The sequence below is a fragment of the Homo sapiens genome, chromosome 20 (genome assembly GCF_000001405.40).
Source record: "Homo sapiens chromosome 20, GRCh38.p14 Primary Assembly".
NCBI classification, from domain to species: Eukaryota; Metazoa; Chordata; class Mammalia; order Primates; family Hominidae; genus Homo; species Homo sapiens.
Genome location: NC_000020.11, coordinates 47,036,158 through 47,063,990, shown reverse-complemented (window position 1 = coordinate 47,063,990; position 27,833 = coordinate 47,036,158). Strand labels below are relative to the sequence as shown.

The 27,833-nt window shown below is 46.4% G+C and overlaps 1 protein-coding gene across 5 annotated transcripts in view, besides 1 other annotated feature; it reads right to left on the bottom strand.

Annotated features, from left to right (window-relative positions):
• The window catches only part of EYA2 (EYA transcriptional coactivator and phosphatase 2), a 294,002-nt gene that overhangs the window by 124,854 nt on the left and 141,315 nt on the right, over window positions 1–27,833 (bottom strand). The gene's annotated exons all lie outside the window — the stretch shown is intronic.
• Window positions 13,915–14,115: a silencer, noted in NCBI's record as "peak4229 fragment used in MPRA reporter construct". NCBI's record gives its function as "represses an SCP1 promoter by STARR-seq MPRAs in K562 erythroleukemia cells {active_cell/tissue: K562}" and the evidence as "EXISTENCE:reporter gene assay evidence [ECO:0000049][PMID:32103011]".

Below are 27,833 nucleotides of genomic sequence, written 5' to 3'. Positions count from 1 at the left end.
GGAGTGAGACCCTGTTGTTACTGGTGGAGGGCCTTGACTATTAGTCGCCCAGGTTCTTGACATTTTGAACAAAGGATTGGACAAAATGCACAAAAAAGCAAAGCAATGAAAGAATGAAGCAACAAAAGCACAGATGTATTGAAACCAAATTACACCCCACAGAGTGGTGGGAGCAGCTCAGGAGTCCTGGTTACAGAGTTTTCCGGGGTTTAAATATCCTCTAGAGGTTTCCCATTGGTTATCTGGTTACACCTTAAGTAAATGAAGACTTGGCCCACGGCCAGTCTGGTTGCAAGGAAGGACCAGAGGCTGAAGTAAAGTTACAAAGTTATAACCTATGCAAATGAAGACTTGGCCCACAATCAGAGGTACTTTCTCCTTTTCATCTGCAACAAAGTGGAAAAGGGGCAGGGAGTTGCAAAGGGAGTAGCCTCTGATTCTTTTGTTACTTGGGTGTGCAGAGGTGGGGTTTTCCTTTTGATTCAGTTCTAGGAAGTCAGCATGAATTGGCCTTAGGTTCTCTGCCTCCAGACCCTATTCTCCTGCCTCACTGTCTCAAAACACACACACACACACACACACACACACACACACACACGCACACGCACACACACACAAATAAACCCAAAAAACATTATGCCAAATAAAATAAGTCAGACATACAAGGCCACATACTGAGGGATTTGTATTCATATAAAGTATCCAGAATAAGATAGTCTACAGAGACAAAAAAAAGTAGGCTTGTGATTGCCAGGGCTGGGGGATGGAGTATTAGACATGACCGCTTAAAGGTTATGGGGTTTCCTTTTGGGGCGATGAAAATGTGTTGGAATTGGAGGTGGTGACTGCATAACACTGTGAACGCACTAAACGCCACAGAGTTGTACACTTTAAAATGGTTAATGGTTAATTCTATGTTATGGGAATTTTACCTTAATTTAAAAAACAAAACTGCTCCCACTACCTCCCCACACTGCCCCCATGGCCTGTCTCCCAGGCTTTGGCAGCAAAAGAAAGGGCACAGAAAGGCCCAGAAAGATCAGAACCCCCGCCTTCTGCCACACTCCTGGGCACCCTACACCTTGAGGCCCGAGAGAAGAGACTATATCTGAGGTTCAAAGATGCCTTCAGCCCCACTCCGGAGTTGAGGGAACAAATCCCTCTCCCTTTGGCACCAACTGCATACCCCCTTTCCATATTTTTCTTTCCTTTTATTGGCAATATTATGACTCAACGTTAACCAGGCTGCTGAGATTCACCGCAGAAGGCTCTTCTGGACAGAGGGAGGACAAGCTGGGCCCGGCCCTCCCATGTAACACGAACCCGAGATCTGAGATCACAAAACAGCTCATGTGCCAGAGCTGCTCAGAATCTGGGTGAGATTTGGGATCTTCAAAATATTTTCAGTTCGAAAGAGCCATCCTCCCTTATTACAGCTGCCAGGAGAGCCGCTACATGTACCTTGGGAAGCGAACATGTTTTCTGCACCGATCCTGGAGCCTGATGCCATGCCTTCCTGTTTCCCCAATAACTGGAGATAACTGCATAAAAGAGCCAGCGCCTGCCTGCGATACCGGGGTGACCTCCCTGCGAACTCAGCCCCAGCTGTGCAGTCCAAGGGGGCACTCCAGAGGGGCCTGTTCAACTCCAGATCCCATTTTACATGGTGGATTAGACCATTTAAAAATCATATCTAGATGGATATGTTTAATGGACAGATACTCAAGAAAATGCTGAGGATGTGTACATTTTCTGGAAATTTCTCCTCAACTTCTCTGCTGAGGAAGTGCTCCTGGGGTGGTGGTCCGAGGTGGACAATTGGACGTCCAGGATGCACCAGGTATTCCTCATCACGTCATCACGTGTGAGAAGTGGTAAGTGAGCCCAGGATTCAGGCAGGAAGGCAAATGTGTCAGGGTGATGTTTTGAGACGCTGCCTTGGGATTCTTCCTCCCAGACAGTCCCATCGTGGATCATGGAGCCCAAGCTGGGGCATAGCAAGGTGGAAAGAAGGAACAGCAGAAATGAGTTATCCTGGCTCTTGAGGTTCCAAGTCCTCCTGAGAGTCTGGGAGGACCTGAGGTGTACGCCTGTGTTTCTCAGCTCTGTGGGGAAGAATCCGTTTCCAAATGTCTAACCCTTTGGGGACTAAGACGTGGTTCACGATGTGTGATTAGCATGCAACTCACACCACAGGCAATTGGCCCTGTGATGCAACAGTCCCAAACTCGCCTACACCCTCTGCAATGAGATGAGCGTAGGATCATGTGCTTGGATGCTGTGGCCGTATCTAATTGCTGTAAACATGTCTCACTTTTTCTCTCAGTTCCATATTTGTTACTGTAGACCAGCAGCTGTTTGTGGACTGGCTGCCGTTGGTGAACCAACTGTGAATTAGATTGAGGTAGGCAAAATGGCTTAGCAGGAAACATGAATTAAGAGGGATTTTTTTTTTTCAGTTGAGACAGGGTCTCCCTCTGTCGCCAAGGCTGAGTGCAGTGGTGCCATCATAGTTCAATGCAGCCTTGACTTCCTGGGCTCAAGCGATCCTCCCACCTTGGCCGCCCGAGTAGCTGGGACTACGGGCACATGACACCATGCCCAGCTAATGTTTTCTTGTATTTTCTGTAGAGGTGGGGTCTTGCTATATTGCCGAGGCTGGTGTCAAACTCCTGGACTCAAGGGATCCTCCTGCCTAGGCCTCCCAAAGTGCTGAGATTATAGGCGTAAGCCAGCATGCCAGGCCTGATTTTCTTAAAGGAGGGCAATTCTTCAAGGCTAGGGAAATGGGGTAGGACAAGAGACAAGGGAAGAAGGAGAGTAAAGAGATGAAGTTGGGCTGGGTGCGGTGGCTCATGTCTGTAATCCCAGCAGTTTGGGAGGCCAAGGTGGGTGGATCACTTGAGGTCAGGAGTTTGAGACCAGCCTGACCAACATGGTAAAACCCCATCTCTACTAAAAATACAAAATTAGCTGGGCATGGTGGCAGGCGCTGTAATCCCAGCTACTCAGGAGGCTGAGGCAGGAGAATCACTTGAACCTGGGAGGCAGAGGTTGCAGTGAGCCAAGATCACACCATTGCACTCCAGCCTGGGCAACAAGAGCAAAACCCCATTTCCAAAAAAAAAAAAAAAAAAAAGAGAGAGAGAGCGATTGATGAAGATGAGCAGCTGTGGACCCTTCACTTCTGTGCATGAAGAGTCCGAGGCCGGCAGCATCCAAACCTTACAGGTGTAGCAAGCAACACCAGTGAGGGAAGGAGGTGCTGCAGGCACAGTGATAGATGGCTTCAGTGCTGGGGAGCAACAGGGGATGGTGGGGACTGTGGCAAACTGGAATGCCAAGCTGTATTTAGGGAGCAGCGGTTTGTGGCAGATACCACTTGGCCTCCCAACAGGCATGCCTGATTCCTCGCTCCCCTGATAGCTTCCCTCTGCCCAGGCTGATGAAGACTAAGTCTTGCATTCCTGGCCTCCCTTGCAGGATGTGATGCTGGATCCTTCTTCAGAATGGCCCATATTATCTAGTTTTGGCCAAGGGGGCTTCTGGGAAAGACTATTCTTTTGTTTCACTCCCCACACCTCCTCCCGAGTCATGTGAGGATGTTCCTGGAGTGACTGCAGCCATGTTGGGCCATGAAGCCATGAGAGTAGAAGCAAAAGGCTCATATGCTGAGGCCAAAATGGGAGAAGGATAAAATGAATCTGATTTTTGATTATATAATTGAGATGCCAAACGAACCTTGGGGTAGAGAGTTCTTGTTAAATACACAATGAACGTGATTATAGTTTAGCCAATATTAGTTGGGCTTGTTATTACTTGCAGCTAAAAGCATTCCTCACTGATAGAACACTATTCAGCTCCAGCCAACCTCTGCCCCATAAGAATGTGAGTCTAATGTAGCCAGGGCTTCTGGATTTGTATGTAAAATCTCCTGAGTTTTAAATGCAGGTAACAAATATGAGTTAGTTGGACCAAAAAATAAAACCAAAAACAAAACAAAATAAACAAAACTGTGTTTGTAGTGTAGAGGGGGCTGTGGGCTTCCAGGTTGTGATCTCTGCTCTAGGAAGACAGAATAGTGAAAGGTTCCTGGGTCCTCAGTGTGGCAAAGACACAGATGTGAAGAGTCCAGACCCAAAGGGGCCTCCTAGACCAAGACAGTGGCCTGGGTCCTGATGATGGAGAATCGGATGAGCCTTCAGCACTACAAATAGACTAGCACTGAGTAAGATTCCACAACCATGGCCAAAATTCTGGAGAGTTTGGGGAAAGCCCCAAATGACTAAGATGAAACTTTCTCACTTTCCCAGAAGAATGGTGGCTTGAAATAGAAATTATGGGCCAGGTACAGTGGCTCATGCCTATAATCCCAGCACTTTGGGAGGCCAAGGCAGGTGGATCACGAGGTCAGGAGTTCGAGACCAGCCTGGCCAACAGGGCAAAACCCCGTCTCTACTAAAAATACAAAAATCAGCTGGGTGTGGTGGCGGGCACCTGTAATCCTAGCTACTTGGGAGGCTGAGGCAGGAGAATTGAACCCAGGAGGCAGAAGTTGCAGTGAGCCAAGATCATGCCACTGCACTCCAGCCTGGGAGACAGAGTGAGACTCCATGTCAACACACAAACAAACAACAAAATAAACAGAAATTACATTGACATGCTGAAAATAAAGTTTTATTTCTGGCCCCTCGAGCCTGTAGTCTGAGATTTATACCTACTATACAAAGGACAGAGGGATTCTTTATGTCCCAGGAACTGTGGCACTCCCAGCGTGGGAAACTATGTGGACAGCCTCAGAAGCCGGTCCCTCCCCGCTCACCATCCTGCACCTCGGGTGTTAAGGCAGAGTTAATTTGGTTCATGCACATTTTCCTTATGAGCCCACCCAAGACCCCTCCTGTTATTTATTTGTTTCCTGTCATTCCCCATCACTCCACAGGCACTAATTCTGGTGTGCCTGTTGCATATTCTCTTGTTTGTGCATTAGTGCAAAACATGCACTAGTGTTTCGGGAGCAGGCATTTGTTTCTGTAAATTCTGTGTGTATTGTTTTGTGGGGTTTCTGTTTTCTCCCAGCATTAAGTTGTTAAGACCCACCCATGTTGCCGTGGGCATGTCTCCTCCTCCACCATTTGCATTCTTTTTTAAGAGACTAGGTCTTGCTCTGTTGCCCAGGCTGGGGTGCAGTGGCACGATCATAGCTCACCACAGCTCTGAATTCCTGGGCTCAATTGATTCTCCTCCCACAGCCTCCCAAGTAGCAGGGACTACAGGTGTGCACCACCATACCTGGATATTTATTTTTCTAGAGATTGGGATCTTGCTATATTGCCCAGGTTGGTCTCAAACTCCTGGCCTCAAGTGATCCTCCCACCTTGACCTCTCAAAGCACTGGGATTACAAACATGAGCTACCACACCTGGCCTTCCATGTGTGTCCTTCACATCTCTCCTACTGACTCCCCCAGGGTCAGCACCAGTATGGCCTCTCTCTCCTGCCATCACCAGCAAGGCTGCCATAAACGCCCTCGCACCCATCCCCTTGTGGGCCTGTGTGTGAGTTTCCTCAGGATATAGTGGGACCTGGGATAGAGTGGGACCACTGGGTCCCAAGGTTGCACAGACCTAATTTCCTGAATGGCTGGGTGCCCCGTCCATAGGTGGTTCCCACATCCTACACCCCTACAGGCACTTGGCATAATCCCACTTGCTATTTTTGCCAGCCTATGGGACTAACATCTCATTCGTTGTCTTTAGTCTACATTTCTCTGATGACCGATGATTCTAAACATCCCTCCTTGGGCTTGTTGTCTTCTGGATTTCCTCCTCTTTTTAAGGAGAGGTGACAGTTACCATGCAAACCTTCCTCCTTTTCCTGGGCCAAACCCGGTATTAACTTAATCCAAGCCCTTGGAAGACTTTCAGTTGTTGGCATTAGCAGCTGGATAAATACTAATGAACTAGTAATAATAGCCTCCATTTATTGAGCACTTACTATCTTCCTCATCGCTTATCAGTTTGCATGCATTATCTTGTTTAATCTCCACCACAGCCCTAGGAAGCAGGCCCTCCTGGGAAGGGGTGGAGCAGGGTTCAAGCCCAGGTCAGCCTGACTCCCAGCCAGCAGGCCGTCCTGCCTCCACACACCTGTGGGAAGTTGCACAGGCCACTGCCTGCCTTAGTTCTTTTGGGCCAACCTACAGTGAACTCATGGTCACCCATGGATCTGACATGCCAGCCCCGGCAGTGCAAAGGAGGCCTCATGGGTAATCCCAGTGAACAGACATCCCCCCTTCCACCTTACAATTTCTTTCCCCATAGCAAAGGGACCTCTGTACTGGTTCCACAGTGACACCTCAAAGCATGTGTTCTCCATCTTAATAAAGTCTTACTGATGTTGATGTGAAAATAAAATTGCTGAAAACCTACCAGGACTGCAAGTGGAAAAGGTCTGGAGGTATGAGATGGGGGGGGGGGGTGATATAAAAAGTAGTCAGCAGATAATGTATAGAATGGAAAAGCCACAAGTGGGTAGAGAGGCGTGAGCCTGTTACAAAATTCACCCACTCAAGCACCCTGACCACAGCCCAAGTTCCAGAAAGGGACAAATCCCAGGCTTCATAGTCTATTTCTCTGTTTCTTTTCTTTACCCAGAATACAAAGTGGTGAAGGCAAAGACCTGGCTGCAGCTGGCAAGCCCTGCCCCATCCCCTCACCTCCTGGGCAAACCTTTCATTCACTCAGCTGCTCATTCATTTTCCTTCAGCCATCACATCTTTGTTGAGTGCCTAGTACGTGCTGAGATTCCTTCCTTCCTTCCTTCCTTCCTTCCTTCCTTCCTTCCTTCCTCCCTCCTTCCTGTCTTCTTCCTTCCCTCCCTCCCTCCCTCCTTCCTTTCTTCCTTCCTCCCTCCCTCCCTCCCTTCTTTCTCCCTTTCTTTCTTTCAACAGTGCCTCACTCTGTCACCCAGGCTGGAGTGTAGACGTGTGATCTTAGCTCACTGCAGCCTCAACCTCCCCGGGCTCAGGCGATCCTCCCACCTCAGCCTCCCAAGCAGCTGGGACTACAGGTGTGCACCACCACACCCAGCTAAGTTTTTTACTTTTTATAGAGACAGGGTTTTGCTCTCTTGCCTAGGCTGGTCTCGAACTTCTGGGCTCAAGCAATCTGCCCGCCTCGGCCTCCCAAATTTCTGGGATTATAGGTGTGAGCCACCATGCCCAGTCCTGAGATTTCTATTTTGAGAAAGAGCAGGGTCCTGTCTCCTTGGATTTCAGAGCCTGGAACGGGCTGGAAGACAACAGAGAATTCAGATATAACTCATGATTTTCCCTGATAACTATGGACACATGGTTGAACTTTCTAAGCCTCAGTTTCCTCATCTGTAAAGTGGAGCTAAGCATAGTTTGTTTATCTGGCTTATGTGGTGGTTCTGTGAGACGTGGGATACAAGGGCCAGAGCCCAGCATCGAGTACATGTTCAACAAACGGGAGCTACGGTGATAATTTTTTGTGTCTTCATAATCACCACTGAAGATGTCAAAAGTGCTAGCATTTCACCAATTTGTCATTTAAAAAAATTCACAGGAATAAAAACATCCAGGGAAGGTTAAAAAAAAAAAAACAATTTGGATAGGACCAAACAGCAGAACCCAAAGCAGACAAAGCCTCCTGGGGTACCCATGTTGCGTTCTCAGCTCTGAGACCAACAGGACGCCTGGTCCACATCTGCCTTGCTGCTGTGAGTCGTCAAGTCCTTCTCACCGTCTTAAAAACTCCAAACCCACACCCGGAGCCTGTCTTCCTGCATCTTTGCTCCACGTGGAGTCTAGCCCACATCTGTGTTTAATCAAATCAGTTGCTAAATGTCACAATGGCCTCATTCACAGGTAGCATAAAGCATATTTAACTGGTAATAAAACAATCCGCATGCCTGAGAACGCCATTTCAGATAGGCTGCCCTGTCACTGTGTCTCTGCCACACAAGTCGGGATAATGCCATGGAAGGAGCAGGGGTGGCGGGGGCAGCAGGGGCGGGAAGAGCCATCCTGCTGCAGAGGAGAAAGCTGTCACATGTCGGTCCACATGTGCTGGTGTGGAGAGATGTCCAAAATGCAGTGCGGGGTGAAAAAAAAGGTGAGTTGCAGGACAGTGGGGCTACTCTGAGCACATGCTGGACTGAATATTTATGTTTGTTGATTTCAGTTAAACAGGGGATCAATACATTTGGAAGACCTCTTAGAGGAGGTGGCATTTGCTAAATGCATAGGAAGGAGCCAGTTACATCATGAAGACGTGGGGACAGAACATTCTAGGTTACGGGAAAGAGCAAAGTGCAAAGACCCTGAGGGGTAAGGATCTGAAAGAAGCAAGAGCGAGTGAAATTCAGGAGAGGATAAGGGGGCAAGTGTGCGAGAGGAGGTCAGAGAGGTCATCAGGAACTGCACGGTGCTGGGCCCAGGTAAGGCGGTCGCAGCAAGGCATTGGGGTTTATTTCTGATTTCAGTGGGAATCTCCAGAGACAAAGGCTTTTAAACAGGGGAGTGACATGATCTGATACAATATAGGGAGGGACAGACCATCTGCCTTCACCCAGTGTGGTGGAAACAGATCAGGGGATCACAGCGGATCCCAAGACCAAATACCTATTCTTCCTGCAGAGGATCTCCTCGGGAATGGTAACCCATAAAGACCAGAGTTTCTGAAACAAGTTATACACGTCAGAGAGAGATTTTCACTGATACAGTCCCATGCAGGGCAATGAGGTTCGAGATGGCTTACACTTCCCTGGTGAGAATTTGGCAGGGATGCATCACGTGACTGAGCCTGGACCAATCAGTGCATCACAGTCCCCTGACCACAATGACTGCTTTAGGGGTGTGCACCTGAACTAACAGGCAGGTCCAATGAGAGGGAATCTCAAGATGACATATGGTAAAGAGGCTGGAGCTGCTGCAGCCTCTTCGCCACCACGAGGGCACAGTCTGTCAAAGCACAGCTGCAGAACACAGAAAAAGAGAGACAGAAAGAGGAACCAAATCTGGCTGACATGTTTGAGCTCCGGATCCATCTATTTCTGGAGCCCGTAATAGCTGCAGTTTACAATAAATTCCTGTAAAAATATTAAGTCAGTTTAGGCTGGGTTTTATTTTACTTGTGTGCGAGAGTCCAAACTGAATCAAAAGTTCATAGGTAACAGCAAGAGAGAGACAGAAGCAGGGCCTGGCATAGCTAGGAGACTGGCTGCATGTCCCCCAAGTGAGTCCCGGAGTCACACATCTGAGGGACGTGGGGCAGAGCAGCAGAAAGAACTCTGTATGGGATGTCCTGGGGTCAAGTCCTGGGCTGCCCAGGTGTCAAGTGTTGGGTGCTGGGCAAAGAGGGGTGAATGTGCTCATTTTCTGTCTATCCGCATTAGTGAAGAGGATCTGAGAGGGGAGGAGGCTTTTACTCAGTACACCTTGCTTATCTCAAGCAGCCCCCCACACATGCTCAGAAACACCTGGTGCAGGGTAGACATTCAGTGCTGATCTGCTGAACGGAATCAGTGAAACTGACGGATTCATGAATTCGACAAATATTTTTTCATCACCAGCCCTACGCTGACAGTATATGAATTTCAGGGGAAACTGCGATGAATGAGACGTGATCTATTTCCTTAGCGTCATTCATTCATTCAAAGTGGAGACAGAGATGTGAATGAGATGCCATTTATTCCACAAATATTCACTGAACACCTCAGCCAGGGGTGGCATCAGGGTCAAGTTGGAGAAGTGGGGGGTGCAATGCTCAGTGCCTCACAATCTCCATGAACAAACCCCGTCCATTCTGTCTTACAGACAACTTAGGTTTTCTCAAACATAATTACAATAATCACTTATACTTATCAAATTCTTACTGTGTGACAGGTACTTCTCTAAGAAAGTTAATTGTATTAATTAATTTAATCCTCATGACCACATTATAAGGTGAGTGTCATCATCAATACCATCCCCATTTTACAAATGGGGAAACTGAGGCCCAAGGTCACTCAGTAAGGTTCCGAGCTGGGATGCTGACTGCAGCAGTCCGCCTTGAGTCTATGACCCTAACGACTCTACTCGGATCCTAACCTGACTGCCTCTCCTTGACAACCCTGAGCCCCTCCTTTGTGGAAATTTTAGCCCACGTATTCTCAAGGGGGCAATATCACCCCCACCCTTGAGACTGCCTGTAAGCAAGTAAGATTCTTCTATCTCCCAAGAACCAATATTCACCTCCTTGGGTGATGATTGGTTCTTGGGAGATAGAAGAATCTTACTCTTTTTTTTTTTTTTTTTTTGAGACAAGGTCTCACTCCTGTCCCCCAGGCTGGAGTGCAGTGGCATGATCTCAGCTCACTGCAGTCTTGACTTCCTGGGCTCGGTTGTTTCTCCCACCTCAGCCTCCTGAGTAGCCGAGACTACAGGCATGCGCCACCACACCCGGCTAATTTTTTGTATTTCTAGTAGAGACGGAGTTTTGTCATGTTGCCCAGGCTGGTCGAGAACTCCTGGGTTCAAGCAATCTGCTCATCTTGGTTTCCCAAAGTGCTGGGATTACAGGCATGAGCCGCTGCACCCGGCCGAATGTTACTCTTTTTATGAATGAAGTAGAGATACACCTTCAGCACATAAACAGATGTACAGCATGTCCGTGGCATTCGCTTTTCATAAAGAAGTCTTTCTTGCTGAGAAACTTGCAAAACCAATAAGGGCTCTAAGGGTGGAGAGAGAGAGATCTGGGTGGCCTCCAATTTCCATTCTCCCTTATTCTTTGTAATTTCATCTAGAAGAAAAAATGTCTAAAAAGGATCCTTGAGGTGGGAGTGGGGGTGGGGGACAATAATGAAAAAAAGGTCGAGAAACTACGTAAGGCCCACCATGGAGGGTGGCCAATTCTATGCCCTCCACAGGCAATAGGTTAAGGGCTGGGGAGACGAAGATGACCCAGACACAGTCCTTGACTTCCAGGACCACATAGGGGACACACTCAATGACACCAGGTCCTACCCAGATGGTGGCTGGAAATATTTCATGTCTCAGTCTTATACTGTGAATGTGGATAAAAGAAATAGAAGCCCGTTTGGGAGGCTGAGACAGGAGGATTGCTTGAGGCCAGGAGTTTGAGATCAGCCTGGGCAACATAGTGAGATCCCATCTCTACAAAATACAGAATAATAACCGGGTATGGTGACACGTGTATGGTGACAGTCCCAGCTACTTGGGGGCTGAGGCAGGAGGATTGCTTGAACCCAGAGGTCAAGGCTGCAGTGAGCTGTGATCACACCACTGCACTCCAGTTTGGGCAACAGAATGAGACCCTGTCTCAAAAAAAGAAAAAAGATAAAAAGAAAGAAGCAGGACTCCTAAAACGACCTATTTTGCCTTGTAGCGGTTTACAAAAGGGCACTGCAAATCTCAGCAGAGGACTGGCACTCTCAAGCCCCAAACATTCCTTAGTAACAAAGGTCGGCTTGGGGTAAATGCCCAGCAGTAGCTGAGCAATCCGTTCACAGACTCTGAAGGTTCTGGATGAGGCCTGAGATTTCTAACACGCCCCTCGTGATGCTGATGCTGCCAGGACCACAGGTGGGGGCCCCAGCCCCTCCCATGCTGGCTTCTCCTCCTCCTCCTCATTTGGGTCTCAGCTCACATGTGACCTCCCCTGACCACTCCAGCTAAAGCAGCCCCCATGCTCCCCCCAACTCCAGCCACACCTTGCACATGACCCTGGTTCTAAAGCTTTTTCTTTTAGTAGCACGCCTCTGAAATCATCTCATTTCTTCAGGGTTGCTTTTATTGTTTATCACATTCCCACTGGAATATGAGCCCCATGGGAGCAGAGGCTGTCTTTTGTTCATGGGAGAGTGGGAGGCACGTGGTAGGCTCTCAAGAAATAATTTCTGGGGGGAAAAAAAGGAGTATCTGTTTTGTTCTCGGCACTATTTCCAGCTGGAACCTGGCACACAACAAACGTTTGATAACTATTCATTGAATGAAAAAAGTGAATGAGTTGACATTAGCAATAGTTACTGATTGCTGGGCATCTGCTCTGTGCCGGGCACTATGCTGAGCCCCGAGCTGTGGTTATCCTAGCTTATCCTCTGCCAAAAAGGAAAACAACAGAGCAAGGTCGGTGACTCCTTTCAATCGTTTCACTGATGTTTCCTGAGCACCTACTGTGTGCCAGTCTGTCCTAAGCAGGATACTGATGAAATCCCTGCCTCTGTGGAGCTGACATGAGTCAGGAGGGGCTGAGGGTGCATAAATATATAAAATAATGTGTCCCATGGTCATAGGTGCTGGAGCCAGCTAAGCTGGAAGGGGACCCAGGAACACTGGGGTCCGGGTTGGGTCATCAGAGAAGGCTCCACATCTGAGGACAGACTTGCAGGAGGTGAGAAACTGAAGCTTTCATCCTTGAGGTTAAGCAACTTGCAAATTAAAACTCACAGATTATGAGCAAAACTGGGATTAGAACCCAGGAGTGTCTGCCTCGGGGGCTTGTTCTTCATCTCAGTTTTCTCCCATTTCCAATCTGCTGTAATTTTTGGTCCTACTGGAAGGTTCATTCATAGTTTCGGTGGGTATTTGACTTAACCCAGCTAAAAATCCGCCCCCCTACTTCTTCCTCCCAATGCACCTAGATGTATGTGGTGCACATACTTCTGATTTCTTCACAGCAGATGGCCGCCTATGGGGCTGTTTTGATGGCGTTCTGCGATGCCAGCCACGTGCACCGTGCATACACTGCAATGGCGAAGCGATGCAGAACGTGCTGTGATGAGTCCTTGGCAGCCAGTGCTCAACGAGAGGGAAAGTCCGGCATAGGCTAGGGTCTCGCCCCAGGGCAAACAGAGGCCAACATCTGGTTAGCGACAGAGTGACTGTCCAAAAAGCCATGTTATAGCCTCTGTTCTAAAGTTTCCTGGCAGTAAAGACAACCTTTTCCAAACTGATACTTTTCAAATGGAGAGGTCAAGGGCTCACCAAAATGACCTCCCATGGCAATGCTCGAATGCCTCGTAAGATCACACATCCTGTATCTGTCTGTCCCAGCGGGGCAAGGAGCCTCGTAAAACGCTGCAAGGTTCTCAGGTATGCCTGCTGGAGCGCTACGCTTTCTCTCTCCAAATATCAACTCCACTCCTGCAAAGCCGCTTGTTTCAAGTGTATACCCTTAGGAATAAGGGCCCTTCTGCAGACCTGTAAATTCCAAATGGGTTCATCTAATGCACCCCAGGAGGATGTGGAAATACCTTATGCAAAAGCCACAGCTTCCTTTAAGATGTCTCCCACTTTTAGATCAAAGCCTTTTTGTCCTTGGTCCTAACAGCTATAATTCACTCCTTTCCTTAAAAACCTCACATTGCTTATAAAGGTTTGATGGTCCGAGCAGCTGCGGACCTTGGCTTTCATCTCTGCTGGATTTATTTCCCCTTCCCTGATCATCTCTTCCAATCTTCATTGCTTGAATTATTTCCAAAGTCCCCGAATGTGGGTGCTTTTCTTTCCCACTCCTGCCATCACTAGTGGGTGTTTTTAAGCCTTCTTAAAATTTGGAGGTTATTCACTGTTACTGAGCACTTCATACGTATTTACTAGGTCAGCCCAAGGGATGGGTGAGGTCTGCTGATGTGTCCTGCTGAATATTTTGTGTTTGTTTTATATTTTTCCCTCTCGCTACATACAGAAAGCATTTAAACCAAGGGGTTAGGACCCAGACTCTGATGATCAAAGTTAACAAGAGAGAAAGCCAAGCTCTCCGGCAGGCATACCTGAGAACCATGCAGATTTCTACGAGACTCCTTGCCCCATTGGGACAGACAGATACAGGATTTGTGATCTTACGAGGCACTCGAGCATGATGATCAAGGTTAACATCACCAATAATAAGACATCAGCATCGTGCAGCCCCTGGAAAGATGCACTGAGGGTGCAACGTCACTTATGTGATCTCCTTGACAAAAGTGCACAACCTCAAGCTAATCACCAGGAAACAGGAGACACGCCCATATTGAGGGACAACTGCCAAAATGTCCAGCTAGTATTCATCAAAAGTGTCAAAATCATGAGAGAAAGACAGACTGGTGGCGGTGGGGGGGGGGTCTGTCACAGATGGGAGCCTAGAGAGAGAGGCACAGCTACATGCAAAGTGGGACTGTGTTTGTCATCAGATTTTGCATGCTATAAAGAAACACCTGAAGCTGGGTAATTTTTAAAGCAAAGAGGTTGAATTGGCTCATGGTCCTGCAGGCTGTACAAGCATGGTGCCAGCATCTGCTCAGCTTCTGGGGGGGCCTCAGGGAGCTTTTACTCATGGCGGAAGGCGAAGCTGGAACAGGTGTGTCACATGACAACATGGAGCAGGGGGTGTCACACGACGAGACAGAGCAAGAGAGAGGGAAAGGGGGAGGTCCCAGACTCTTTGAAACAACCAGATCTGCAGGTGAATTAACAGAGAGAACTCATTCATTATCACGAGGAGAGCCCCAAGCCATTCACAAGGGATTCGCCCCCATGATCCAAACACCTCCCACCAGGCCCCACCTCCAACAATGTGGAGAGGACACACACCCAAACCATATCAGGGACCCTTGACTGGATCCTGCAACAGAAAATGGATGTTTCTGGAAAAACTGGTAAAATCCAAATAAAGTCTGTAGTTTAGTTAAAAGCACTGCACCTATGTCATTTTTCTAGTTCTGATCACTGCCCGATGGTTATGTAAGAGGTTCACATTAGGGAAAGCGGGAGAAGGGCTTCAGGGAACTCTGTACTATCTTTGCAACTTTTCTGTAAGTCTAAACTTAATTTAAAATAGAAAGTTAAAAAGAAACAGAATAGGGACTGACTGAGTTTGAATCTGCTATTTACTGGCTATGTGACCCTGTGCAAGTGACTTAGTGCCTCTGTGCCTCAGTTTCTCCATCTGCAAAATGGGTCTTCAAATAGCACCCATCTTCCAGGGCCATTGTGAGAACCACATGAATTAATACATTTAATGTGTTGAGTACCATAACGTGTTGGAACTCAGAAATGCTGGAACAAATGTCACCCACTACTAGTATCATTCTTCTTCTTACTCTCACCTCTGTTACTTCTCTCTTGCTGGGAGTGAAGCAGGGGACACAGATTCAGCAATTTATAGAGTCTTGAGCCTCCCAGCCTGGCACATTTCATAATATCTGCCAGGGAACTGCTGCACAGTATTTTATTATTTATTTTCTTGAGACAGAGTTTCACTCTTGTCGCCCAGACTGGCATGCAATGGCGTGATCTTGGCTCACTGCAACCTCTGCCTCCCAGGTTCAAGCAATTCTCCTGCCTCAGCCTCCCGAGTAGCTGTGATTAAAAGGTGCATGCCACCACGCCCAGCTAATTTTTGTATTTTTAGTAGAGACAGGGTTTCACCATGTTAGCCACGCTGGTCTCAAACTCCTGACCTTGTGATCCACCTGCCTTGGTCTCCCAAACTGCTAGAATTACAGGTATGGGCCACTGCACCCGGCCTGCATAATATTTTTGAAACTGACAAAATGTAATAATTTCCCATGAAAACCCAGATTTTGGGCTTCCCTTTGAACAAAAAAGTGGGGGAAGTTCTGGCAAATCAGGCCCAGTTTCTCATATGTAATAACCATACTCTAAAAGTGAGTAGCAGCCCCTTTTAGATGGAGCATGTGTTCTCCACGTGGCCACACTCTCCTCCCCTCCCTGAGGTCTCCTTAATACTGGGGAAAAATGCCATCATCCTTGGCCTGATAGCTTTCTTACAGTTAAAAATGTTTCTGTGTATCTGTGGTAGGCGGAATAATGGTTCTTCAAACGTGTTCATGTCCTAATCCTCGGAATTTGTGAATAAGTCGAGTTAGTTTATACAGCAAAAGGGACTTTTCAGATGTGATTATGTTAATGGCCTTGAGATGGGCAGATGATCCTGGATTATCAGTGAGCCCAATATAATCACAATTGTCTTACTAAGAGGGAGGCAGGGGCGCGGTGGCTCATGCCTGTAATCCTAGCACTTTGGGAGGCTGGGAGCGAGATGGATGGAGAAAGAGGCTACAAGCCAAGGAATGCGGGCAGCAGGGAAAATGAATCCTCCCATGGAGCCTGCAGAAGGAAGCAGCCCTGCCAACACCTTGATTTCGGAATTCTAATTTCCAGAACGATAAGGTCATAAATTTGTTTTGTTTTAAGCTATTAACTGTGTGGCACTTTGTTACAGCACCAGTGGGACACAAGACAATATCCTTGTCCCTAACAAAAATGAGAGACAGGCTGGGCGCGGTGGCTCACACCTGAAATCCCAGCACTTTGGGAGGCTGAGGCAGGTGGATTATCTGAGGTCAGGTGTTCAAGACCAGCCTGGCCAACATGGTGAAACCCCGTCTCTACTAAAAATACAAAAATTAGCCAGGCGTGGTGGCACATGCCTGTAATTCTGGCTACTTGGGAGGCTGAGGTGGGAGAATCGCTTGAACCCGGGAGGCGGAGGTTGCAGTGAGCTGAGATCGCGCCACTGCACTCCAACCCGGGTGACGGAGTGAGACTTTGTCTCAAAAAAAAGAGAGAGAGAGACAAAAAATAAAGCAGTGCCTGCTCATCTTTTTTCTTAGGCTTAGCCCACTTTACTCCTCTGCGTGACCTGCCCTACTCCTGTGGGCATTTGTGTTTGCTGCCCCTCGCCTAGGAGTCTCAGATCATCCACGCACTCATTCATGCATGCCCACGTTTAATGGGGAACTGCTCACTCCCAGGCCCAGAATTACTCACTGAGGGATGCAGAGGGGAATAAGACACAGCCCCCGACCTTCAGGATCCTACAGCGTAAGTGGATATTCATGGGGATGCACTACAACATTTAAACTTTGAAAAGAGAAAAAAAATCATTCTTTGAGAAATGTACACGATACATTTTAGAAAATGAGCAAGTTGCCCTAATCTGATCTTATTTTTGTCTTCACAATAACCCAGGGGAGACAGATATCATACCCCAGCCTGACAATCTTAAAAATAAGGACATTGAAGCTTAAAGAAGTTAAGTAACATGTCTAAGGTTGCCCAGCTAAGTGGTAAGCTGTCTGCAGTAAGAGTTGTGCTTGTTCCATGAGGCAGCTGAGATCTGTCAGAACCCTTCCCAGATAGATACACAAGAGTTCACCAAGCTGCTGAACTCTTGAACTCACCTTAACAGTCATATTTTACAGTGTCAAACCTGGTCCAGAACTGGCCCTAGTTTGGACCCTTCGTGGTCGCAGCCACCTGGCGACACATTTTGAATAGATGAATGGACTAGTCCAGAAAGGCAGATTAGCATGAAATCCATACACGCTTGGCTAGGAGGGCTTGGACCCAGCCCACCCCCCTACACAAGCCTCCCATCAAAGCTCACTCACTGGATGTTTGTACCAAGGGAGGGCTGTTGTTTTAGGATGAGGGCTGGGAATTCTGGTGGGCAGCCCACAGCTGACACTGCTCTGTGCAGAGATGATGAGAGATGCAGACACCTTCATCCTTCGGTGTATCTACATGCTGGTTCCCCCACTAGCCATGAGTGGTAGAGGCTGGTAACTGCCCACAATGTCCATTCTTTCCTTCTGTCTCACAGTGATCAAGCTCACAAGTTTTAGCTGTGTCCCTCCAAAATTCACATGTTGAAAGCTAATTCCTAACATGAAAGTATTTGGAGGTGAGACCTTTGGGAGGTGATTTGGTCATGAAAGTCGAGCCCTCATGAAGGTGATTATAAAAGAAGCCCCTTATAAAAGAAGCCCCAGAAAGCTCTCTTCTTTCTGCCATGTAAGGACACAACAAAAAGATAGTTAGTGGTCTATGAACCAGGAAGAGAGTCCCCACCTGAACCTGACCATGCTGGCACCCTGATCTTGGACTTCCCAGTCCCTAGAACTGTTAGAAGTAAATGTCTGTTGTTTATAAGCTACCCAGTCTATGATATTCTGTTTGTTATAGCAGCCCAAATGGACTTAGACGTTAGCCTTAAGATGTTAGCTGTCGTATAGAAGAGGACAGCAACACAGACTTGTGGAACAGCAAGATGAGAAGAGTCTGGGTCTCCTCCTCTGTAACACCCAACTGTTACATAAGAGAGAAATAAACCGCTACTTCATCAAACCATTGTTAGTTTTGATCTTTGTTATAGAAGCTGGAAATATACCCTAACACTACTCCCAAACCCGCATATACCATTGATGCTGAAAAAAATTCTCAAAAACAGGCCCCTGCAAATTCCTGACAAAAGTTCTCTTGGTTCCATAGCAATTCCATTGCTCATGTAGACGGATATGAAAAGAGTTGAGGAAGAAGACAGGGGCAGCTTCAGGCAGAACGTCTTCAAGGTAACAAATCCATGGAAGCACTGTGCTCCAGTTACTCTAGAAACTTGTGAGACATTTTAAGGACAGGATGTGGTAGGCTGACCTTCAAATATGGCTGTCAAGAACTCTTCTGATCCCTGTATGTGTATACTGTTCCCACATCTTCCCCTCTCCTTGAATATGGGCTGGCCTTGTGACTTGCTCTGACCAACAGCATGTGGCAGAAATGATGTTCTGGGACTTCTGAGTCCGGGCCTTAAAATAGCTGGCAGTTTCCACCTTCTTTTCCTTAGAACCCAGTACTATGCTATGAGGAAGCTGGTTGGATATCTGGAGGAAGAGAGTCCATGTGGAAGAGAACCAAGGTGCCCCAGCCTATAGTAGCACCAGCTGCCAGATGAATGGGGATAGCTTTCTTGGGCATCTCAGCTGAATGCAGCTGTTATGTGTGGCCCCAAGTATCACCAGGAAGAGTGGAAAACCACCTAGCTGAGCCCAGCCAATCCAAGACATTACGAGAAATGATCCATTATTGCTGTTTTAAGCCACTGCATTTTGGGGTGTTTTGTTACACAGCAATCACCAGTCCATACACTGGGCTTAGTATTTCCCCAGGCCCAGTTACAGTTCCTCAAAGCCCCTTGTACTCTTCCTTCATAGCAATTACCACAATTGCAATGATGTAATTAGGTACATGATGATCTGTTTAGTATTGTTTTCTCTCTCTAGATGAGTACAGTGAGAAGCAGTGTATTTATGCTTCCTTGGCAGTGTCTCAGTCCTGGATTTAGAACTAGGTTCTGCTGTTCTCCGATTGTATGACCTTGAGCAAGTCACTCTGCCTCCCTGTGACTCAAATTTCTCATTTACAAAATGGGAGAAATATCAGTAATTATAGATAGGATTTTTGTGAGATGAAATGAGAGAATGTTAGTTAAGCACTTGGCATGCCCTCAATAAATGTTTGCTGAGTGAAGGAATTAAAAAATGAACAGCGTTCTACAAAAATGTGATCGCTGAATGAACCATGTGCTCAACGCCAACTTCTTAGTGAGACCCAGCCTGACCACCTGGTTGAACAGTGCAACTTGCTATTGCCCCCACCCCCCCGAAAGACTCTACTTTGTTCCTCATTCATAGCGTTTCTCACCCTACAATACAATGTACTTATTTATTCTATTACAAATATTGATTTTTGTCTGTCTTTCTCACTGTGAGTATTGACTGTTGTCTACTTTGTCCACAGATGCATCTCTAGTGCCTGGAACAATGCCTGGCACACAGTGGGTGTCACCCAACATATGCTGAATGAATGAGTAAGTCTAAGAAGGGTTCATGGGCTATCTGTGGTTCTTGGAAGGGTGGACCAGAGCATATGGAAAGCAGCCCCGCTAGAAAAAGGCCTCTCACTTTCTCAAGACACCTTAACGCCATATGTTGAAAATGGTCTGATGACTGAGTCTATGATGACTTTGATGTGAATGGTGCCCCCTGGAGTTGTGTAAAATCAAAAGCAGAGCTCCAGTGGGAAGGGCTGTGCTGATTAACAGTATCCAACTTTGTCCATACCAGCATGCCCTATGAACACTTTCCTAGTGCCCTGTCTCCAAAAACACAGATTTAAGTCTGTGGTTAAAAGGATAGTCTATTACTGGACAACCTGGACAACTTTGTTTGGATCCAAACACCTCGTAATGTTGAACTATCAATATCTATATCCTATCAATATCCTCTTGATCACTAAAAAAGTGAAAGAACTACTCAAAAACTGCTCAACATTGATTGGGAAGGTGTCAGCTTCTATTGACCCACTCAGACAGGACAATGATGATAATGGCAATAATGATGATGGTGTGGTAAGATTGAGAACTTATTATGTGTCAGGAAAGTTTCTGTGAGCTTTATACGTATTAACTTATTTAATCCTCACAACAGTTCTATGAAATGCGTATTATCATCAGCCCATTTTATAGACAAAGATACTGTGGAACAGAGAGGTTAAGAAACTTGTCCAAGGCTACCCAGCTAGAAAGTGACAGGAAAAAGTGCAAAGTTAGGCCAGGTCATAAATGAAAGGATAAACACCACCTTCTGAAGACAGCACTGCAGAAAGGATGCTGAGAGGCCTCACAAAAGAATGCGGCCTGCACCCATGACCACGGGCAGCCAGGGAGAAGCAGGACTGGCTTCAGGGCTACTTCCAGTCCTTGGCTGTGTTGGAAGGCACCTGACACCTCCTTCCTGAGACTCCTGTGTACTCTTCCCAGCCTGAATGTTGGCCTCTCCCTTTTAAAACATTCCCTTTCCGTGGGTCCCCTGCCTGTGCCTCCTGTCCTACTTAAATATACATCTGTACTGTGATGAACTCTCATTCCCCTGGAATAAGTTTGCCAATAAAAACAAAAGTGGCCTCAACATGCAGAAGTTCACAGAAAAACCCTTTTAAGGAAAAATATAACATTCATACTTTTGGGCCCAGAGCTCTGTAAGACAGCAGGATGAACATTCTTTTATCACAGCTCTATAGAGCTGGAAGGGGTCTGAAGGATTAATCCTCCCCTTCCTCCCTCTCGCCTTTCCTTCTTTAAGTATTTACAGTCGCCTAATGGGTGCCTACTCAATATCTGCTTCCTCTCCTTTCTTGTTAAGAAAATCCAACTGGAGCGGCAATGTACCCAGGTAAAAATGATCACTTCTCTATCTCCCTTGCAGCCAAGAGTGGCCATATAACACAAATCCAGCCATTAAAGCAAAACCTGAAAACTTCGGCTTTCCTGATTGTGGCATTGCTCCTTCTTGCTTTTCTCTTCTGCCTTCCTGTAATGTGGAGGTGACGGCTGGAGGTGAAGCAGCTGTCTTGTGACCATGAGGTGATAAGAGGCATAAGGATGAAAAAGCTAAGTCCAAGTATAGCAGGGTAGACCGACAGAGGGAAGCTGGGACACTCGGTTCTCTGTTGCTGGTGGCTGAATGAACTCTAACTGATAATGCGTGCCAGGTGCTGTGGGTTCTTTGAGATAAGGGATGGTTCCCGCCATCTGGAAGCTCAAATACAGCCTAACTCCTGTACTTCACAGATGGGGAAGTGGAGGGTCAGAGGCTGAATGACCAGGGTCATATATGAATTTGTAACAAAGACAGGGTTAGAACCCAGACTTAAGCCTTAAGTCCAGTTTGGCTCTTTCTACCAATCTAGGGCTGCCAAAGTGTGACAGAAACCACCAGTGATGATACAAAAGATAATTTTAGATGACTTCCCTTTTAATTTCTTTTAATCGATCTAATAGGCAGCCTAGCTCAGAAGTGAAGAGCTTGGAGTCTGGAGTTAGACGGCTTGGGTCCAACTCCTGGCTTTACCACTCATTAGCTGAGTGACATTGCACCTATCACTGACCCTTGCCATGCCTCAGTTTCCTCCTCTATAAAATAGACGTGATAATAATTTCTACTTTATATGGTAGTTGTAAGCAATTAATGAGGGAGCACCTGGAACTGAGTATTACATTAGTATTAATTATTCCTGGGTTAAGGAGAACATCTTTCACACTCGCTAATCTCTTTGTGTCTTCAGATTTGGATACTTGGCTATAATTTAACTTTTAGTGAATATATTCTTACCAATTTTATTTTATATTTATTTTATAATTTTATTTTTAGTGAATTTATTCTTACCAAACCTTCCATTTATGGCAAACAAAACTGGCTTTCCATTTAAGGTAGTGCTATAAATTTGGCTTTTAAAATGAATTTACTTTTGAACCAAAAGAAGTCTGTAAATTAAAAAAAAAATCAAATAATAGTGGAGGTGGAATTTTGATGTGACAAAGCCATGTATAATATATTCAAAGTACAGGAAACATTTACTAGACTGAGGGAGAACAATCTGAGCACCTATCCTAAAACTCCCCTCCCGTGGTCATGGCAGGCATCACTAATTGATCCCTGCACACCTTCCTACCGAGTCCAACAAGATGTTCATTGAATGAAATTTGCCAGTGGCTTCCTTGATTGGTCCAGTTCTCTCAGACAGAATTCAGAACCTGGCACTGCAACTCAGTGATAAAAAGAGCAGACCAGAACAGACCGTTGGCAGTTGCTACAAGCTTATGAGTCCTGGTAGGTTTAGGGTTAGGTTTTTACCATCTGTATAAAAGTGTTCAATATACATGTATGCTTAGTCGTGCACAGACTATCTCTTGAAGGACACAGAAGAAACTGGTGATGGGGGCTGCTTCTGGGGAAGAGATCTGGATGGCTATGGGTTAAAAGTGGGAGGCAGACTTAACTGCTACCTCTGTACTATGTGCAGGTATTCACTATTCAAAATAACATAAGATAAATTAAAGGAAAGAGCATGGGGAGGGAGGCTTTTCTGGCAGGTTGGAGTTGCCAGTTGCCAAAGTTTTTAGATTTCCTTAGGATCAGAGGGTTCTTTAAACACTAGAGAACAGAAATCAGATTTTTCTGTAGAATTCTAACTCGCAGGGGCGGGACTGCTTCAGCGGGCTGGCAGGAGGAGCAGGGACCTGGGGGCTGCACCCACCTGCTGGTTATCTAACTTCCCTGTGGAGGGTGGTTTATCCTCCAGCCAGGCCTAAGCTCCTTACCTGCTGGGACCCCACAGGGTGCTTCTGGCCCCCTGCAGCTGTGAGCACACAGTGGAGCCTCACGTGTTCTGTGAAACCCTTGGCATGCCCTCAGAACATGTGCTGTCCAGTGATAAGATGCTGGCTACATAAGCCCTAAGTCACAGTGGTTTACAGGTTTTGGTTTTTTAACCTCCCCCCTAACCCCCAGACACTCCCATTTCTAGGGACAGTTCAAGACAAGTTCTAGTGTAGTTACAGTGATAACAGCATTGACTTTCAGCCAGAAAGGCTGAGCTGAGACCCAAGCTTCTTACCTGTGTGACCTCAAGCAACTTGCTTGATGTCTCTGTGTTTCAGTCCCTACCTGTTGTGTGGCTGTGATTAAAGGAGCTATGCGTGTGATGTGATTAGAACAGTTGCTGCTGTATGGTTGTTATTTTCCTTGTGTAACAGCAGAGCGTGTAACAGAACAGGAAATAATGAAAACAGTGCTGAATGTCCCTGAGGGCTGGCCCCGTGCTGAGCCCCAACTCGGCGTTTTCTCACTAGTCCTCAGTTTGGCTTTACAGGAGAGGTACAGCAATTCCCCTTCGACAGACCAGAAAACTGAGGCTCAGACTGTGGAAGGAGCTTGCCCAAGATCCCCCATTGAGGGAGATACGGAGACAGGCTCTAAGTGGAACATACCATTCTTCAAAGACTGCCAAGACCGTTCCCACTTCTTTATGGAACAGTATTTGCAAACTGGGTAAGACCTGCTAGTGTGTATGAAATGAATTTAGCAGATAGAACCAATACTGTAGAAAAGATGGCCTTCTGTGCTTAAAATGGCAAACACTTACTGGGTGCAGTCTCACCAAGCATGGCTAAACATTGCCTCTATTAAGTATTTGATCTTTGCCAGGTGCGGTGGCTCATGCCTGTAATCCCAGCACTTTGGGTGGCCGAGGTGGGTGGGTCACCTGAGGTCAGGAGTTCGAGACCAGCCTGGCCAACATGGTGAAACCCCGTCTCTACTAAAAACACAAAAATTAGCTGGGTGTGGTGGCGGGCGCCTGTAATCCCAGCTACTCGGGAGGCTGAGGCAGGAGAACCGCTTGAACCTGGGAGGCGGAGGTTGCAGTGAGCTGAGATCGCACCATTGCACTCCAGCCTGGGTGACGGAGCAAGACTCCATCTCAAAAAAAAAAAAAAAAAAAAAAAGTATTTGATCTTCACAATGACCCTATGAGATGAAGAAGCTGGGAAACAGAGAAACGAAAAAATATCCCACAGTCACACAGTTAACAGCAAAACCAGGATTTGAACCCAGGCAGGCTGGCTCCACAATCTGTGTCTTTTATCACTACAAGATGCCCCGCCTCAGGAATAGAAAAAAGAGAATTGAGAATACTGCACTGATCTCAGGCAGTGAGGGTGTGATTTTGTTGATACTTTGTTTCCATTGTAGGTATATGCATGCCCAAGTGCCAGCTCAGGGTTAAAATATAAAACGCATTTCTTTCTGTGGGTCTAGATCAGGGGACGGGAAAACATTTTCTGTAAAGGGACAGACGGTAAATATTTTCTACTTTGGCCACATGGTCTCTGGTTGCAATGACCCAGTTCTGCCTTTGTGATAGGAAAGTAGCCACAGACAATAGACATAATGAATGGATGTGGCCGTGTGCCAATAAAACTTTATTAGTAGACACTGAAATTTGAATTTCATATCATTTTCATGTGCCATGAAATATTATTCTTCTTTTGATTCTTTTCCTCAACCATCTGAAAATGTAAAACCCATTTTAAGCTCATGGGTGGTACAAAAACAGACAGCAGGCAGATTTGGCCTGAGGGTTTTAGTTAGCCTACACCTGGTCTAGGTCAAAATAGTTAGAAACTCACATTATAGAATTGTGCGCGCGTGTGTGTGTGTGTGTGTGTGATTTCGACATCTGCTCTGGTTTTTTGCTAAGCCCAGCCATTTCAGGGACAGGACACAGTTCTTGGCCCCAAGCCTCTTGCGGCTCAGCCAGGGACCCAGGCTGGGTGATGTCGTGGGTAGAGTTGCATCCCCTAAAAGGCTAAGTTCATCTCCTAAGGCCCAGTAGCTGTGAAAAAGATCAATGTTTTTTTGTTTGTTTTTCTCCTGTTCGAGAAGCCCCTACTCTCTTCACAAAAGCCCCTCAGGAGACAAATACTGTACGATTCCACTTACGTGAGGTATCTAAAGTACTCACACTCTTAGAAACAGGAAGTCCTCGGTGGCTGCCAGGGGCTACGTGCGGGGAACGGGGACTAGTTGTTCAATGGATATAGTTTCAGTTTGGCAAGATGGAAAAGTTCCAGAAATCTGTTGCACAAAGTGGTGCATACAGTTCACACTCCTTACTGTATAATTAAAAATGGTTAAGATGGTAAATTTTATATCACAATGAACATTGTGTATGTGTGCGTGCACACACACACACAGACCCCTCAGGGTTTCCTCTGCCCTATGTGGACCTGTCCCCAGAGCACCCTTGTGGGCAGAAGCAGTAGTTTATATTTATATTTTTATTTATTTGAGACAAGGTCTCACTCTATCACCCAGGCTGGAGTGCCATGGTGCGATTACAGTTCATTGCAGCCTCAATCTCCTGGGCTCAAGCAATCCTCCCACCTTAGCCTCCTGAGTAGCTGGGACTATAGGTACATGCCACCATGCCTGGCTAATTTTTGTAGAGACGGGGTCTTGCCATGTTGCCCAGGCTGGTCTCGAACTCCTGGGTTCAAGTGATCCTCCCAGCTTGGTCTCCCAAAGTGCTGGGATTACAGGTATGAGCCACTGAGCCCAGCCAGTAGTTGACTTTTTTCCCTGACCGCCCCACCCCTACCTAAAATCATCAGCTTCCTAATTCTCTCCCTTGCTCTATTATTTTTTCTACATGAATCCATCACCATCAGAAACACTATGAATTTTACTTAAAATTAAAAATATATATACATCTACCTCTCCCTGTTAGAATGTAAACCCTGCAAGGGCAGTTTTTATCTGTTTTGTCACTGCTGTAAATCCTAATTCTGCTGCACAGCAGATGCTGTGAATAAATACTTGTTGAATGATGAACACGTGTGGTAGAGAGAACAAATGCCCCTACCCACCAAGATATCCAATACGAATCCCAGGACTTGTGGATATTTAGGTTACATGTGTGGCAAAGGGAAATTAGGGTTTCAGATGGAATTAAGGTTGCTAAGCAGCTGAGCTTAAGATCGGGAGGTGATCCTGGATTACCTGAGAGGGCCTAATTTAATCACCAGGGTCCTCAAAAGTGGCAGAGAAAGGCAGCAGAAAGAGTCAGAGAGATGGGACTACAGAAGATCAACCCACTGTAGCTGGCTTGAGGAAGGGTCTACAAGCCAAGGACTAGTGGCAGCCTTGGGAGGTTGGAAAAGGCAAGGGAACAGATGCTCCCCTAGAGGCTCCAGAAGCTCTGCTGATGCCTTGATTTTAGCCCAGTAAGACTTCTGACATCCAAAATGGTAAGATAACAAATTCATGTTGTTTTAAGCCACGAAGTTTGTGGTAATTTGTTATAGAAGTCATGGAAAACTAATAATACAATGCAACACATAACAATGCAACACGTAATAATGCCAATGAACACGGAGTGCTTCTTTTGCGCCATGTCTATTCTCAGTGTTGCATGAGTTTTGACTCATTTAATCACTACAACAACCTGCTGATGAGTAGGGGAATTCCCACTGATATGGTTAGGCTTTGTGTCCCCACCCAAATCTCATCTTGAATTATAATCCTCAATCCCCATAATCCCCAGGTGTCAAGGGAGAGACTTGGAGGAGGTAATTGAGCCATGGGGGTGGTTTCCCCCATACTGTTCTCATGATAGTGAGCGAGTTCTCATGAGATCTGATGGTTTTATAAAGGGCTCCTCCTTGCTTCTCTTGGCACTTCTCCTTCCTGCCACCTTATGAAGAAGGTGCTTTGCTTCCCCTTTACCTTCCACCATCATTGTAAGTTTCCTGAAGCCTCCCCAGCCATGTTAAACTATGAGTCAATAAAAACTCTTTCCTTTATACATTACCCAGTCTCGGTCAGTTATTTATAGCAGTGTGAAAACAAACTAATACACCCATCATTTGTATCTTACCAATGTGGAAACAGAGGTCCAGAAAAACAAAGCCCCTTGCCTGTCACATAGTTGATAACTGGCAGAACTGGGATTTGAATTTAGGCGATCTGAGTTCAGTGGCCACATTCTGAACCCCTGTACTTGGTTATGCAGGTGACATAGGTGGTGTGTGCAAAACTGTAGAACCTACTGGAAGGAAGGAAATAAATAAAGCAAGAACTTTGGATTCCGGCTGCCTGGAGAAGTGTCCTGATTGGCACTGAACCAAGCTGTACTGAAGCCTGAGGCAAAAGGAAAAATACATGCTCTTATATGCATTTCCCAAAATATCCTCCAATATTACGAAGCAAGTGGAAGAAGTTAAAAACACTATTATCAAGAAGCATGACTTTATAACAGTCCCTGTATTGCCAAATCTGTCTGCTTACCCTCCTAGCCCTGCCACGGCAGGACCATAATGCCCGTGTGCACCAGAACCCTGGGCTGATTGGAAACGACCATTCCTGTTCCACAATATTGCTGGGTCACTAAACAAACAGCAGGAGTCTGTCTTTATTTCAAAATTTGATACTTTGTTCATCAGGGAGTTTTTGCGCGAACTTTGGCTATTTTAAATAGTGCCTTAAAATAGTTATCCATGATTGAATTTCCTGGCACTCTGTTACATTTTGCACATGGAGCCAGTGCCTCTCTTACTTCATGCTAGTCCCGGCCCTGATCCCGGTTACGCCACCTCCCAGCTTTCTCGCTTCCTCCCTTGGAG